The sequence below is a fragment of the Homo sapiens genome, chromosome 4, assembly GCF_000001405.40.
Source record: "Homo sapiens chromosome 4, GRCh38.p14 Primary Assembly".
NCBI classification, from domain to species: Eukaryota; Metazoa; Chordata; class Mammalia; order Primates; family Hominidae; genus Homo; species Homo sapiens.
In genome coordinates this window covers 121,085,720-121,104,585 of record NC_000004.12, presented here as the reverse complement: position 1 = coordinate 121,104,585, position 18,866 = coordinate 121,085,720, and positions in this window count along the sequence as shown.

Below are 18,866 nucleotides of genomic sequence, written 5' to 3'. Positions count from 1 at the left end.
TATTTATGGGTTACAAAGTGATGTTATTCAATGTGGAATAATTAAAGCAAGCTAATTAACATGTCCATTAACATAAATACTTATTTTTTTCTGATGAAAACATTTGGTATTTATGTCTTAGCAATTTTGAGATGTACAATTCATTTTTTAAACTATTTCCACCATGCTGTGCAATATATCTCAAAGAAAAAAAAAAAACACCTTTATTTCTCACTGGGTGTGAGCATGCCTATTATCCCAGCGCTTTGGGAGGCTAAGATGGGAGGATTGCTTGAGCCCAGGAGTTCGAGACCAGCCTGGGTAACATGGCAAAACCCTGTCTCTACAAAAAACACAAAAATTAGCTGGGAGTGATGGCAGGCACCTGTAGTCCCAGGTACTCAGCTACTTGAGAGGCTGAGGTGGGAGGATCACTTGCACTGAGGAAGTCAAGTCTGCAGTGAACAGTGATTGTGCCACTGCACTCTAACCTCCATGACAGAATAAGACCCTATCTCAAGAAAACAAACAAACAAAAACCTTATTTCTCATTTTTCAGGATAGATCACATGTTTGGTCACACAGCAAGTCTTAGCAATTTTAAGAAGATTGAAGTTATTCCAAGTATCCTTTCTAACAAAATTAAAATGTAACTAGAAATCAATGACAATTAGGGATGAAAAAATTCACAAATCCATGAAAATTAAACAACATATTCTCAAATAACCATGGAGTCAAAAAAGAAATCAAAGAGGATTTTTTAAAAAATCTCACAATAGGCTGCACATAGTGGCTTGTGCCTGTAATCCCAGCACTTTGGGAGGCCCAGGAAGGTGGATCATTTGAGGTCAGGAGCTCGAGACCAGCCTGGGCAACATGGCAAAACCCCATCACTACTAAAAATACAAAAATTAGCCAGGTGTGTTGGCGCACATCTGTAATCGCAGCTACTCGGGAGGCTGAGGCAGGAGAACTGCTTGAACCTGGGAGACGGAGGTTGCAGTGAGCCGAAATTGTGTCACTGCACTCCAGCTTGGACTACAAAGTGAGACTCTGTCAAAAAAAAAAAATCTCACAACAAATGAAAACAAAAATACAGCATATCAAAACATATAGGATAAAACAAAAGCAGTACTAAAGGTGAAGCTTATAGCAATAAATGGCTATATTAAAAAGGAAGAAATATCTCAAACAAACAACCTAACTTTACATTACAAGGAACTAAAAAAAGAAAAACTAAGCTCAAAGTTAGCAGAATAACAGAATTAATAAAGATTAAAGCAGAAATAAATCAAACAGGAAATACAAAAACAATAGAAAAAATCAGCAAAGCTAAGAGTTGGTGTTTTAAACAAAATGGACAAACCCTTAGCTAGATCAACTAAGAAAAAAAGAGAGAAGATTCAAATAAATAAAATCATAAATGAAAGAGGAAACACTACAATGCATGGCTTAGAAATAAAAAGGATCAAAAAGGACTATAGTGAAAAATTATACACCAACAAATTAGATGATCTAGAAGCAATGGATACCTTCCTAGAAACATACAATCTTGCAGAATTGACTCAAGGAAAAATAGAAAACACAAACAGACTAATAACAAACAAGGAGATTGGATCAGTGATCAAAACCTTCCCAATGAAGGAAAACCCAAGACCAGAGGGCTTCACAGGTGAATTCCATCAAACATTCAAAGATGAGTTAATACCAATCCATCTTAAACTCTTCCAAAAAATAGAGAAATAACATTTCCAAATTAATTGTATGTGGCCAGGATCAACCTGATACCAAAACCAGACCAAGACTATAAGATAAGAAAAATACGGAGCAGTATCCCTGATTAACACAGATGCAAACATCTTGAATAAAATATTAGCAAACCAAATTCAACAGCACATTAAAAGGATTATACACCATGACCAAGTGGAATTTACACCTGCAATGAAAGAATGGTAACAAATATGCAAATTAATCAATGTGATACACCACATTAACAAAATGAAAGAATAAAACCACACTTTCTGATTTCAAAATGTATTATAAAGCTATAATAATCAAAGCAGTAGATGCAGAAAAAGCATTTAACAGACATTTGCGATTAAAACTCCCAACAAAATAAGAATAGAAGAAACTTAACACAACAAAAGCCATATATGGAAAGTACAGAGCTAACATCATAATTAATGGGAAAAATCTGAAAGCTTTCCCTCCAAGATTCATTCCAAGGCCAAGATGCCCACTGTCATCACTTCTATTTAATATATTACTGGAAATCCTAGCCAGAGCGATTAGACAAAGAAAAGAGATAAAAGTCCTCCAAATCAGAAAGGAAGAAGTAAAATTATCCCTGTTTGCAGATGACATGATTATATGTGCAGAAAACCCTAAAGATTCAACAGAAAAACTATTAGAACTAATATACGAATTCAGTAAAGTTACAGTATACAAAGTCAACATACAAAGATTAGTTGTATTTCCATATACAAACAAGGAACTTTCTAAAAGAAAATTAAGAAAGCAATCCCATTCACAATAGAAACAAAAAATGAAATACTTAGGAATAAACTTAATCATAAAGGTGAAAGACTTTCACATTGAAAATTATAAATCACTAATGAAGGAAATTAAAGACACAAATAAATTGAAAGACATGCTGTGTTTGTGGATTGGAAAAAAATCACATTGTGAAAATATTCATACCTTCCAAAGCATTCTACAGATTCATTGCTATCTCTATCAAAATTTCAATGACATTTTTCACAGAAATAGAAAAAACATCCTAACATGTATATAGAACCACAAAAGAACCTGAACAGCCAAAGAATTCTTGAGCAAAAAGAACAAAGTTGGAGGCATCACATTTTCTGATTTCAAAATATATTACAAAGCTATAGTAATCAAAACAACATTGTACTGGCATAAAAACAAACTTACAAATCAATGGAACAGAATAGAGAGGGCAAAAATAAATCCATACATCTAAGGTCAACTACAATGACCGTAGATGATTTCACTGTGGTGCCAAGAACACACAATGGGTGTCTTAGTTCATTTGTGCTGCTATAACAAACTACAGACTGAGTAGTTATAAAGAATAGAAATTTATTTCTCATAGTTCTAGATGCTGTGACCTCCAAGATCAAGGTGCCAGTAGGTTCTTTTTCTGTTGAGGGTTTGGTCCCTACTTCCAAGATGACATCTTGAACTCTGTGTCTTTTGGGGTGTAGGAGGAGAAATAATGTGTTCTCACATGGAAGAAGGTGGAAGGGCAAAAGAGAAGAACTCCCTCCATTAAGACCTTTAGTAGGGGCACTATATCCCATTCATAAGACCTTCACTCTCATGACTTAATGATCTCCTGCAAGGCCCACCTCTTAATATTACTACATTGATGTCTCAGCTCATTTTCTGTTGCTTATAACAATATCTGAAACTGGGTAATTTATAAAGAAAAACAATTTGTTTCTTTCAGTCATAGAAGCTGAGAGTCCAAGGTTGAGGGGCTGTATCTGGTGAGAGCTTCTTGCTGGTAGAGACTCTCTGAATAGTCCTGACATGGTACAAGATATCACATGGTGAGGAGGATAAGCATGTTAACATGCTAGCTAAAGTCTCTCTGTCTTTTCTTATAAACCATCAGTTTCCCTGACCCCATGAAAACCTATTAATCCATTAACTCATTAATCCATGAACCCTAATCATCTAATTACCTTTTAAAAGCTTCACCTTTCAATACTCTCACATTTGGGGATTAACTTTCAACATTAATTTTGGAGGGGACATCAATATTTAATAGCAATAGGGAAAAAATAGTCTCTTCAATAAATGATGTTGGGAAAACTGGATATCCCTATGCAGAAGAATGAAATTGGATCCTTACCTCACACCATGCATAAAAATCATCTTAAAATAGATTAAAAAATTAAAGATAAGAACAAAAACCATAAGACTACTTGAAAAAAGCATAGAGAAAAAGCTTCTTGACATGAGTCCAGGCAATAATTTTCTGAGAGATGACACCAAAACCACAGGTAACAAAAGCAAAAATAGACAAGTGGAATTGCATCAAACTTAAAAGCTCCTGCACAGCAAAGGAAACAATCAATATAGCGAAAAGGCAACCTAAAGAATGGAAGAAAATATTTGCAAACTGTATATCTGATAAAGGGTTAATATAAAAAAATTTATGACACTTAATGGCAAAAACAGCAACAAACAATACAATTAAAACACGGGCTAAGGACCTAAATAGATATTTCTCAAAGTATGACATACAAATAGCCAAAGTTATATGAAAAAGTGCTCAACATCACTAAACAGAGAAATGCAAATCAAAACCACAATGAGATATCACCTCACACCTGTTAGAATGGCTGTTATTAAAAAACAAAAGATAACATGTGTTGGCAAGGATGTGGAACAAGAGGAATACTTGTTCACTGTTTATGGGAATGCAAATTAGTACAGTGACTATGGAAAACAGTGTGGAAGTTTTACAAAAAAAAAAAATAGAATAACCATATGATCAAATAATCCCAATTCTGGGTATATGTCTAAAGGAAGTAAAATCAGTATATTGATGAGATACCTGCAGGCTCCTATTTGCAGCTGTATTCACAATAGCCAAGACATGGAATCAACCTAAGTGTCTGTTGATGGACGAATGGATAAAGAAAACTTAGTATACATGTATAATGGAATATTATTCAGTCTTTAAAAAGAAGGAAATTCTGTCACTTGCAACAACATGGATGAACATGGAAGATATTATGCTAACTGAAATAAGCCAGAAACAGAAAGGGGAATACTGCATAATCTCACTTATTTGTGAAATCCGATAAGTCAAATTCATGGGAGCAGAGAGTAGAATGGTAATTTACAGGGTCTGGGTATTGGGGAAAATTGGGGAGATGTTGGTTAAAGGGTACAAAGGTTTAATTATTTGTGATGACAAGTTCTGGAGATCTTACAACATTATGGTGACTATGGTTTAAAATACTGTATTTTATACTTGAAATTTGCTAAAAGAGTTGATCTTAAGTTTTCTCACCAAACACACACAAAATTATAACTATGGGAGATGATGGATATGTTAGTTTGCTTTATTATGGTAATCATTCATATTGTACATGTATATTAAAGCATCACATTGTATACCTAAAATATATACAATTTTTATTTGTCAAGTGTACTTTAATACACCCAGAAAAAGAGAGAAAGAAACTAGAGTGTCCCAGAATCAAGTTTCAACTGTCACTGTTGTGTGCCAGCCTTAATAAAATAATATCATTTCTGCAAATAGAGGAAGGGTTTCCTATTACCCCATTTGGAGCAACTTTGGAAATTCTCTTTGAAATGACTTGACAGGCACTTTCCCACATTACCTGATAACACATTACAATTTCATTGGACTGAAGGTACCACAGTAAAATGGTTTGTCTCATTATCTGTAGGTTACATATCATTGTTTTCATACTAAAATGGAAAAGTGATACATATTATTCACAAACTTGTAATTTTTTCAACTTTTTAGAGTGCATTTCTGTGTACGTTGTTGAGTGAGCCTTCATAAACCTTAAAGTCTGGCAGGAAATAATTTTACTAATGAAGTAAAAAATATAAAGAACTTCACTCCTTTTTAAGGCTCAATAATCTTTCACTGTATGTATACACTTCATTTTGTTTCTCCATTCTTCTGTTTATGGACCCTTGGGTCATTTCCACCTTTTAACTACTGGGAATAATATTGCTATGAGCAGAAAAGCCTTTTCCATGTAGAGTAATTCACAGTTTCAACTACTTTCCATGAAGCATTTTTTCATCTGTTCTAAGTATCAGCATTTCATCGTAGGGTTAAAAAGTAGTTTTGCTGTAGAAGTAGAATGAGCCTGGGGTTTGAAGTTAGACAGCAAGTGACCATTTCTGCTTCTATTTCTGTGTGAACTTGGTTCAGTTTCTTCATCTCTTAAATGGATCAATAATAATTTCTGCTGCACACACTGTTGTGAAAATGAATGAGACAATAAAGCAACTAGTGTAGTGTCTGAGGCATTGTGTAGTGCCTGACACGTCGTAAGAGGATAGTAAATGCTAGCCATTAGTAATACTTCCAAATGGCCACATATTTCAACCACAAGACTTAATCTCATCTCAAGCTGCTTCCTTCACCCCATTATCTCACACTGGGGCTTTGTTCCTACTTTTTCCTCTAATGGTTCTTAAGAGTTTTACTTCAATTGCTTACATAGATCACAACACCATTCCCCAGTTTGTTAACCTTTTTAATATTTCATTCTCAAAAAGGTCTATTCTACCAGATTTACCTTTAGATCTGTGTTATAACTTCTATTAGTGAGAATATGTTTTTAGAGGTTAAAGATTATTCATATCTGAATTATTTTGCGGCCCATATAAGAAAAAGTACTGAAATGATAACAACGACATTTGGTAAGACTCTCTCCATCCCAGTGAAAGAGCAAGGATGATTAACTTTTTAAGCCTACAGAGAAGACATTCTAGGACCATATCACTAAACTACTGTTTTATAATTACAAAGTGGCATTTTGTCACCAGAAAGATATATGGGAATCAATGGAGGAATACTAGCTCACATGTCTAAATCCAGGAAAAAACATTAGGAAGCCCTAGAATTAGGAAGCCTCAGAGTGTGCAAAAGAGGTAAAGAGATTCCATTTAACCTTAGACTGCCCTGGTAGCCAGTTTGTTTGCTCTGGGTTGAGCCATCCATTGTCCAGGAATGTAATGGGTAAAAGAGACTCAGAAACATCCTTCCTCAACCCCAACACCCTTGCATCTGCAAACCGATTTCACATTGTTAAAGGTTCACTCAGTTTAGTCATTTTAATTTTAAACCAAAATAAATGTAAATAATGATCCAATCAATAAATTGGTCTTTTTATAAAATAAAATCAATTCTAAATCTACTTTAAAGAACCATTTGTAGAGGTTTTGGTTTTAAGTTCATGAAAAGCATGATAACAATCACAAGAACTGTGATTCCATGTTTTCAGAAGTTTATACTGCAGGCCTTCAACCTGCTTTTAGAGATAATGCAGTTAAAACTAACACTCAGCACAATCAATTAAAAATATCCAACCATGCTAACATTTTGGAATGATCCGGATGGTTAATATTTGAACGAAGCATCTGAACTGATTGGCTGTTTTGCTACTGTGTTTCAAGTTAGAGGTATCATCAGAGGCCAAGGTTTCTTTAAATTCCTCCAACAGTTCATTTTAGACTACCGATACTAATAGGTAGCCTCTTGAACTATGTGAATGAAGCAATTTTCAGTACCGCCAGGTGTTAGAAAGTGACTAGTACGTAATGGAAGCCCAGTTAATGTTGCTGCCAAAATTGATATATGAATGAATGATCTCTATTGGCCTGTATGTTTCAAAGCTTCTATACCAGATCTTAAAAAAAAAAATCCAAGTTTTAGTTTGGTTCTGGTTACAGTTACTCCAGGGCCTGTGTTATCTAGTTTGGCTCTCTACAATAAATTAGCCAATTTTTTACCAAATTTTTAGTGTATTAAACATAGGAAAGTCTTATATAGGCAGATACTTTGGTTTGTTTTACAATTTAATCATTTGATTTCTATTTTGTTCCTTGCGAGCTTAATATTTTGAACAAATTATCTCTGCTATTGTCCCTGTTATTTTCCTTTAGTGCTGATTTCATAACAAGAAAAAACTGACATTTGAAATCAAAGGTTTTTTCCTAAGTAAAATGTCCACTAGATGGAAGTATTGTTTCAAAAGAACGAGGGTGATGGCTTTAAAAAACTATTTCTAAAACTTACCCAGTGAAAGTTACATCATAAAAACTGATAGACAATTCCTTTATTACTTTCCTAATTTTTTTATTTTTATATAAATGACAGCATTTAAAATCCATGTCATTAGGAGGCTTATATTGTGAAAATTGTTGCATCTCTGTAAAGACTTAAGATGTCTCAGTGCTGAATTCTCTAAGTTTATTTTCTATATGTTTCATAGGTTTAATGACAACAAAGAAAATATCTTAGTTAAAAAACATGCCTTAAAATCAGAATCCTGGGAACTTGCTTCATGAGTCAGAAATAAAAAATTTGTAGAGGGTTAAATAAAAACCCTAAACATAAAGTGCCTAACAAAAAGATTATAAAACCCTCAAGTGTGGAAAAATACACACACATAGATTAGATGTGAGTGTCTTAAAGTTCTCAAAGAAACAGTATCATTGTGTATTCACACATTCTTGCCCAGTCTACACAACTGTATTTAAAGTGCATATTTTAATATTTGCTAATGCAAATGGCATAGTAAATTTGCAAATTACATTCCATTCTTATTTGCAGTTGCTGACCTGAATATAAAAATATCTTTATTAACTTAAATTTGTCATGGTTTGCCATTATTTTAGTATACTTAAGGCAGTACTTGAGCAATTTTTTGTTTTCTTACTATGATGTTTATGACTAATATTTTTGAAAGTATTTACTCAACCTCTTATGGCATATTATGCTTTATAATTAAATATGGCTTTGGAATTAATTATTAACATTATCTTTAAGAAATACAATTCTGAGGAAGCAAAATTTTAATGCAATATAAAAGCATTTTAGTTGGAGGCTTCAAACCTCCAACTTAATGACAAGCTTCTTCCACACATTGCCCCACAAGTGTACACTTTCAACAACTGATAAAGGGAAATCAATCAGCCCCCTCTGCAAGCTCTTTGAGGTAATAATTGGAAATATCAAAGAGTATGTATTTCATAAAGCAAGGCTGAGTCATCATGATGCCATTGAAAATACTGTAGTTCTTTTTTCTCTATAAAAGCTGTGGGACATTTTAAAATTAAATTGGAATAGCAGTAATACTTTCTTAAAGTTTTTTCTAAGCTCTCACAATTGACAAAAAAAAATCTTTTTATAAAGTTTTGAGAGTAAATGGTTTGTTTTTTTACATATTTCCTTAGTATTATTTCCTAAGTATATTAACTTAGTAAAAGTTAGCAAGTAAAGGAAGGTTTTCAAAAACTAACATAACAATTTTCTATTCCTCCTTTAAATCATTCAAAAAAAATGAAGTTTCAAACGTTGTTTTGATTTAATATTATATTATGTAGAAATACAAAGGCAGTTCACGCTTTGTAAATTGTATTTAGAAAATTGTGTACTTTGACAAGTCTAGAAGTTCATTTTCCCGTCGTAAAGCTAGACAACTAAATTGGCCTACTAAAGGACTGTGAACCAGTTTGTTATATAAATGAGAACATGTTGTTGATGTTTGACATAAACAGCAGAGGTGCAACTGAAGTCAGCCTGCTCACATAATTAAGTAGTCAATGCAAGACTACGTAAACCCTTGATTCCAGTGTTAGAATGACTGTCTGTGTGTTTCTTTGTTCACCCATCCAACTAGCCCTATATTTATTAATCAATATTTATCGAATGCCGAGTATACTTTTGGAGCAGTCAAGGTTTTCCGTGCCTTTATATTTGTGTGCTGTCAAACCTTTCTAATTTGATTCCCAAATGCTCCATTTTTTAAACATTATAAAAAATTCTTCTGTAACTTCTTTCTGCCTGCTGAAAACAAGGCCAAACTCTTTGGCCTGATATGCATGGCTTTCCTCAATAAAGCTCCAACTTATATTTTGAGATTTATTGGCTATTATTTTACATATCTTCCATTTCATTCAAATCTTATCTACTCACCATTTTCTGCACACCTTCACTTTACTGATATGTTTCCTTTGCTGAAAGTACTCTCGTGCTATACTATGGCCTACACCTCCAAATTCTTCACATATTTCAAGACACATCTCAGTTTTTCACTTCCTTATGCAATTCTACTTCACCCCAATCAGAAACAACCTTTCCAGTCTCTGAGGTACCAGTCACTGCCTTTGACTTATAAGTTTCTTACATTATTTATTACTTTGACCTGAATAGTGGAATTATTTGCTTGTGTTGTTTTTTGTCTCTCTCTCAAACTGAAAGAAGACTGGGATCCTGTAATACTCATCTTTGCATCTCAAAACTCTTATCACACTACCTCCTGTTACCCAACCTGTGACTGGACTATCATCACTACTTCCTTCTCTTTTTCTGGCAAAGGCTAAGGCTTCCATCAGTGCTGTACCTCAAATCTTCCTTCCTACATCCTTAAAAATCTCCTCCCACTGACTATCCTCTTATTCATCATTGGCTTCTGCCCATTAGCGTATTAACATGCTCAAGTCCTTTTTGCCCTAATACAGTCTAGCACCATCTTTCTCGACTCTCTTTAATAGCTAACCTCTTGAAAGTGTTTTCTACACATGCTGTCACCACAGCCACAGCTTTCACTAACTTCTCATCCTTATGTAATCTGCCTTTTACCTCCATGACCTAGGTGAAACTGTTCCCACAAAGGACACCAATGACCTCCTGCTTGCTAAATCCAATGACCGTTTTGGGGTTTTCTTGTTTTTGACACAGGGTCTCATTCTGTCACCCAGGCTGGAATGCAGTGGTGTGATCACAACTCACTGCAGCCTCGACTTCCTGTGCTTAGGTGATCCTCCCACCTTAGCCTCCCAAGTAGCTGGGATTACAGGTGCACACTACCACGCCTAGCCAATTTTTTGTATTTTTAGTAGAGAGGAGGTTTCACCATGTTGCCCAGGCTGGTGTCAAACTCCTGGTCTCAATCTGCCTGCCACCTCGACCTCTCAAAATGCTGGGATTACAGGGGTAAGGCAATACACCTGGCCCACTTCTTAAATCTTTCCTTATTTGGGCTCTCTACATCACCTAACACTATTTATCATTCTTCCCTCTTTAAGTCACTCTCTTCCCTTGAAGCAATTCTCCTGCCTCAGCCTCCCTAATAGCTGGGATTAGAGGCATGGGCCACCACACTCGGCTAATTTTTGTATTTTTAGTAGGGATGGGGTTTCTCCATATTGGCCAGGGTGGTCTGGAACTCCTGGCCTCAAGTGATCTGCCCACCTCAGCCTCCCAGAGTGCTGGGATTACAGTACCATGCTGGGCCTGGTACTTATTCTTACATTTCTTTCTGGATGGCCCATATGCACCCAAGTACAATGTGTCCCAAACCAAACTCATCACATTTCCTCTTTTAACCTAAATTCATTTCCTATTTTTTGTTCCTCATCACATTGAAAGGCAGTACTATTCATCAAGTTTCCCAAGTCAGAAACCAGAGTATCTTCCCTGGATTATCTCTCTCCCTTATGTTACATATTTTAATCAAATACTGAACCCTGCCACTTCTATCATCTACAAAGCTTTTGAATGTGCTCCCTCTGCTCCAATGTCTGTCCCACTGCCCTGGTTAAGACTATCATAATTTCCCACCTGGATTTCTGTCATGGCCTTGTAAATTGTCACTCTGCCTCCAGTCTTGCTCTCCGGCCATCCATTTTCCACACTGAAGGTAGAGTAAACTTGACAAATACAAATCAGATTATTCCGCTGATTGAACACATCAATTACTCTAATGACTTATAGGATAATGTCACACTGCCCTAAGATAGTTTATAATGGTATGCATAACTTGGCCACCACTCACTACTCTGGCCTCATGTGGTCATACCCCCTTCAAACCCACTAGTCTCACTCTTTTAACCTGTTCGAGTTCCCTCAACATGTTCTGGTCACTCTCACTTCTGGCCCTTTACATATGCTGTTTCCTATGTCTAGATGCTCTTACTTCCACCTCTCAACCCCTTGCAAGGCTAACTCCTTCTCATCCACCCAGCCTCTCAGCTTACATGTCTCCCTCCAGAAAATCTCTATTAACTTACTGCGCCTGGATCTAGCATGCATCCCATGCATGTCTAGTAGCATCCTGCATCTTACAGATGATGCTTAATTGTTTTTTGCTTTTTACACACCTGCATTCTTATGAATTGGCATGCAGTGTCTATATTATGCACAATATTAAAGTCATCCTGTGGTAATCAATGTTGATCTTTAACGAAGTCAGAACAAATGGAATGGTCAGAGTAACGTCCATATGTTCAGTCTTTGTATATAATGGCATATTGTAACATTTATATTGAAGAAGTAATTTAGCATGGATTATACTGAACTCCTAGAGAAATCACTTGTTGCTGGATAATGTTAGTCATTAACAAATTGAAGTGAATTTTTCAGCTCTGTTTACAGATTCACATCAAATGAAACATTTTTTCACTGTCCAAAATGGCTAACAACCTACCATAAATAAATAAATAGCAGGATGCTTTAATTGTAGAAAGTGTTCAGCATCTAACTGGCAAGAGCTGGACAAATGAGGGTCATCTTTTTCAATTCCTGCATCTTATAGATGGGAAGAAAAGATGTCTTGAGAGGTAAGGTGTTATTTTAAGGTCATCCCACCACATAGTGGTAAACCTCCCATCCTGTTAATAGGACCATAGAAGAACCCATTTGTCACAGTGTCCTACCCAGTGCTCTTTTCATTACACAGTGTTATTGCTCACCATGTTTCTTCTCATTTGTAGCTTGCATGAGAAACCCTTGGCCTGGCTCAGAGTTTCCAAATCTTGCAACACTGAGAATGTATTTCAATGATGTATGTTTTCCAGCTGAAGTTGTATTTGTTAAAATTAATCAAATCTTATCTGGAACTACAATACATGCAACAGGTAGAATCAAGGAATCATTTTGTTAGGCAATTAAAATTTCCATTGTAAAAACCCCTCATGCCCTTTCAAAGGTCCAAAATATCTGGGGAGCTCAGTTTGAAAACTACTTGAGACTGAGGGAAGGGCACATTTGGTAGCAGGAGTTGTGAATTCGGCCACTCAATCAACCTAATGCTCCCCTTGGACTTGAACAGAGCTGGCAGATACAGCAAAAGGTTACTTTAGCATTCTTTTTTTTTTTTTTTTTTTTTTGAGATGGAGTCTCGTTCTGTCACCCAGGCTGGAGTGCAGTGGCACAATCTTGGCTCACTGCAAACTCCACCTCCCGCCTCCCGGGTTCACACCATTCTCCTGCCTCAGCCTCCCAACTATCTGGGACTTACAGGCGCCCGCCACCACGCCCAGCTAATTTTTTGTATTTTTAGTAGAGACGGGGTTTCACCATGTTAGCCAGGTTGGTCTCGATCTCATGACCTCGTGATCTGCCCGCCTCGGCCTCCCAAAGTGCTGGGATTACAGGCGTGAGCCACCGTGCCCGGCCTACTTTGGCATTCTTATGTCTCTTAACAGTGCACTAAATAATTACCACAATGAGATAGTAGTGTAAAGCAGAGCTCAGCCAAGACAGAATGATACAAAATTGGGCAGTAGGAGTGGTCCTCCCATGCTTTCTTTCCTTCCTTTCCACCTTACATACATTCATTTTAACAAATCATGTTTCTGGTTTTTGCACTGTTTCCCCTAAGGAGCATTAGTCACCAATATCTTGGCAGTGTCCAAAGTGCTCCAGTAACGTAAAGATCTGAAATGGAGGATGCAACAGGCAATTTTTAAAATATGGTTTATGTTCTAGACAACGTCAGTCATTAAGTTATTCACACAGGCCTACTCCATATTTCAAGCTCCTAGTAATTCTTCAATGTCTATTTCTTATCCTAGCTCTTTTGTGAAGCCATGTCTAACTCATCTAAAGGAGGCCAAGATTGCTTCCTCCTTTAAATTGTTACAGCGTTTTGCTCAGACTTCTTTTGTAATACCTAGATTCATCAGAACTAGTCTTCACAGGACTTCCCTTCTCTCTGCCCAACGATTCTCTTCTCTCCTTACCCCACAACACACACCTCTATTTTTGAGGCAGCTGCTCTCTTTATCTACGTATCCAAAAGAGCAACCAGCCCAGTACCTGGAAAAAGACGAGACTTTAGGAAAGATGAATTGAGAATATATTTTAGTCTTAGCATTTTTTTATCTTAACATATTGGTTATGTAATCATTTTGTATCTCAATATTCCCATCTGCAAAATGGGGATAATACCTGTCTTGGAGAGGTAGGTAAAATTCTTGGTAAATATTGTAAATAATGCCTGCAGTATCATTATTCAACACATATTTATTCTAATTCACTGGCATGGAGCTTTGGGTCTGCTCTTTGGTTTGTAGATTGTCATGGCTACAGTAATAGTCTTTCTGCCAGACCTAGAAGGCTGCGTAGCCCAGAGCTTGGCCCATCAATTCTGTCTTGTACAGGCAGATTTTTTTTTCTACCCAATTTGTTTCGTGGTCCTCGGCATACCCAAGAAAGCAAGTTATGATGGGACAAACGCTGGATTTGGAGGCAGAAAACCTTGGTTAAACCTAAGCTTTAATTGATTGTATGATATGGAGGAAGTCAGACACCTGTATCCTCAGTTAATTCACATATAAAATGAGAATACCTGTCATGTTTGCCTCACAGGCTTTTTGCAAGTACCAGAGGGAATTACAGAAGTGAAAGCTGTTTGGAAACTGTAAAGGACAATACAAATATGAATTAAACATTTGGTTATTTTGTTTGTATTTTGAATAGGTAATATATATACTTTGTACAAAATTCAAAAAGTACAAATGGGTATATAATGAAAGGCAACTCTCTCCATCCTGTCCCCCAGCCACTCAAATCACCCCCATAGGGACAACAGATGCTATTACTTTTTGCTTATCCTTCCATAGATTTTTCTACTTACATGCAAGTTATTATGTAACTTTTTATAAATCTTTCCAACTGCCCCCATACTTTCCTCCAGCCTAAGGCTCCACTTAACACTTTTGAAGCCAGCAACACCCAGGGTTAACACCTACAGTTGGCCTACTTGCACTGTTAACTGTATTTACAATTAAGAGTCACTCAGTCACTGAGAAAGATTCTGTCATAAGTCTGAAAAAGCCATCATTCTCAGTACACAATGCCCCCGGGGAGCACAGGGCATGGTGAGGCCCAAAGTTGCTACATCTTCTGCTCAGAACCCTGATGGTCCCTATTCTCGCACATTCCAGCTGAAGCTGCAATCCATTGAAAATCAGTTGCTTTACTTTTTTCTTCTACATACCTTTGCTTAACTTAGTTACATATAAAATGTTTTATTTGGATTTTCTGCAATATTTGCTTGAATCTCGTACACTTGAAACAATCTTAATTTTTGGTTGTTTCATATGTGTGATATTTGCATCCTACTATATTCATGAGAATATTGTACAAATTAGCTAAAAGTGTCAATATTACAAAGTTCTTTCAAATCATTAGGTGAAAAGTCTACATTTATGTTAATTATATGGTATATTTTTTGTAATCCCATCCTCTAAGTATGTGATTTCAATATTAAAAGTCTCTCTAATTTTAAACCGCTTCAAGTGAGTTTTGTAAATCCTGAAATTTCTTAAAGATTATATTCTTTAGACCCTTTTGCTAGATACAGTCTGAACTTTTAAGACCACACTTCAGTTGATCACGATTAACTATATGTTGCTATTTTATCGTCCGTGTTTCTCTTTCATCACATTTTCCACCAGATTTATTAAGGTATAATTGACAAATAAAAATTGTGTATATTTATATTGCACAACATGATGTTTTGATATATGTATATATTGTGAAATGATTACATCAAGCTGGTTAATATATTAATTACCTTACATATTTATCTTTTTTTGTGGCAAGAACATTTAAGATCTAATCTCTTAGCAATTTTCACGTATACAACACATTATTGTTAACTATAGTCACCATGCTGCACTGTAGATCTCCAGAATTTATTCATCTGTCTAACTGAAACTTAGACTCTTTAAACAACATCTCCTTATTCCTCACCCTACCCCCAACCCCTGGCAAAGACCATTCTACTATCTGTTTCTATGAGTTCAATTTTTTCAGATTCCAAGAGTAAGTGAGATCATATAGTATTTGTCTTTTTGTGCCTGGTTTATTTCACCTAGCATAATGTACTCCAGGCTCATCCATGTTGTTGCAAATGATGGGATGGGATTTTTTTCTAAGTCTAGATAGTATTCTGTCATCTTACACACAATGTGTGTAAGATATTCCATTATTTTACACACATTATCTTATACACACATGCATGTGCATTTCATATTTCCCTTATCAATTTACCTACCAATAGACATTCAGGTTGATCCCATATCCTGACTATTGTAAATACTGTTGCAATAAATATGGGAGAGTTATATCTCTTCAACATACTGATTTCATTTCCTTTGGGGAACCTCCATACTGTTTTCCATAATGGCTGTACTGACTTACATTCTCACCAACAAGGTACAAGGGTTCCCTTTGCTCCACATACTTGCCAACACTTGTTATCATTTGCTTTTTTTTAAAAAAGATAGTCATTCTAATTGGTGTGAGGTGAGATCTCATGTGAATTTGATTTGCATTTCTCTGATAGTTAATGATGATGAACTTTTTTTTTCATATATCTGTTGGCCATTTGTATGTTTTCCTTTGATAAATGTCTTCATTTCCTTTGCTCATTTTTTATTTTTATATTTTTTTCATAGGTTATTGGGGTACAGGTGGTATTTGGTTACATGAGTAAGTTCTTTAGTGGTGATTTGTGATATTTTGGTGCACCCATCATCCAAGCAGTATACACTGGAACCTACTTGTAGTCTTTTATACCCCACCCCCCTCCCATCCTTCCTTCCAAGTCCCCAAAGTCCATTGTATCATTCCTATGGCTTTGTGTCCTCATAGCTTAGCTCCCACATATCAGTGAGAAAGTATGGTGTTTGGTTTTCCATTCCTGAGTTACTTCACTTAGAATAATAGTCTCCAATCTCATCCAGGTCACTGCAAATGCTGTTAATTCATTCCTTTTTATGGCCGAGTAGTATTCCATTATATACATATATGTGTGTGTGTATATATATATATATATATATATATATATATATATACACACCATAGTTTCTTTAGTCACTCGTTGATTGATGGACATTTGGGTTAGTTCCACGATTTTGCAATTGAGAATTGTGCTGCTATAAACATGCGTGTGCAAGTATCTCTTTCATGTAATGACTTCTTTTTCTCTGGGTAGATACCCAGTAGCGGGATTGCTGGATCAGATGGTAGTTCTATTTTTAGTTCATTAAGGCATCTCCACACTGTTTTCCATAGTGGCTGTACTAGCTTACATTACCACCAGCAGTGTAGAAGTGTTCCCTGATTATTGCATCCACGCCAACATCTACTGTTTTTTGATTTTTTTGATTATGGCCATTTTTGCAGGAGTAAGATGGTATTGCATTGTCGTTTTGATTTGCATTTCCCTGATCATTAGTGAGGTTGAACATTTTTTTCATATGTTTATTGGCCGTTTGCATAAAAATTCTAGAAGATAACATTGGACAAAGCCTTCTAGACATTAGATTAGGCAAGGATTTCATGACCAAGCACCCAAAAGCAAATGCAATAAAAACAAAGATAAATAGCTGGGATTAGTTAAACTAAAGTGCTTTGGCATGGCAAAAGGAACAGTCAGCAGAGTAAACAGACAACCCACAGAGTGGGAGAAAATCTTCACAATCTATACATCTGACAAAGGACAAATATCCAGAATCTACAACGAACTCAAACAAATCAATAAGAAAAAAACAAGCATACCCATCAAAAAGTGGGCTAAAGACATGAATAGACAGTCCTTTGCCCATTTTTAATGTCATTTGTTTTCTTGCTATTGAGTTGTTTAAACACCTAATATACGTTGAATATTAACCCCTTATCAGATATATAATTTGCAAACATTTTCTTTCATTCCATAGGCTGTCTTTTCATTCTGTTGGCTGCTTTTTATGCTGCACCAAAACTTTTTAGTTTGATTCCATTCATTTTTCTAGTTTTGCTTTTGCTGCCTATGCTTTTGGGGTCATATCCAAAAAATCATTGTCCAGAGCAATGCCAAGAAGATTTTTCCCTGTTTTCTTCTAGCATTCTTGTGGTGTTAAGTCTTACATTTAAGTTTCTAATCCATTTCGAGTTGGCTTTTGTATGTGATGTGAGATAACGTTCCAAGTCATTCTTTTGCCTATGGACATTCTGTTTTCCCAACATCACTTATTGAAAAAAACTCTTCTTTCCCCATTATATTGTCTTGGAAACTTTGTAGATGATCAGTTGACTATAAATTCATGGATTCATTTCTGGGCTATCTATTCTGCTGCAGTGGTCTGTGTGTATGTTTTAAAGCCATACCTCGCTGTTTTGATTACTATAACTTTGTGGTATATTTTGAAATCAGGTAGTATGATGCCTCCAGCTTTGTTTTTTTTTGCCTAAAATTACTTTGACTATTCAGGGTCTTTTATAGTTCTATATGAATTTTACAATTGTTTTTTCAGTTTCTGTGAAAAATGTCATCAGAATTTTGATAAGGATTGCATTGAATCTGTAGGTCACTTTGGGTTCTATGGCCCTTTTAATAATATTAATTTTTCCAGTTTATGAACATGGACTATCTTTCCATTGTGTCTTTTGCAATTTTTTAATGAATGTTTTATAATATTCAGGGTGCAGATCTTTCACCTTCTTGGTTAAATTTATTCCTAAATATTTTTTAAATGTAGCTATTGTAAATGGAATTGCTATCTTGATTTCTTTTATGGATAGTTTATTGTTAGAGTATAAAAACACTACCAATTGTTGTGTGTTGATTTCATATTCTGCAACTTTACTGAATTTATTAGCTCTAAGAGTTTTTTGGTGGAGTCTTCAGGGTTTTCTGTATATGAGATCAAGCCATCTGCAAACAGGGACAGTTTAACTTTTTCCTTTCCAATTCAGATGCCACTTATTTATTTTTCTTGTCTAATGGCCGTGGCTAGAATTTCCAGTACTAGGTTAAATAAAAGGGTTAGACTAGGCATCCTTATCTTGTTTCTTATCTTAG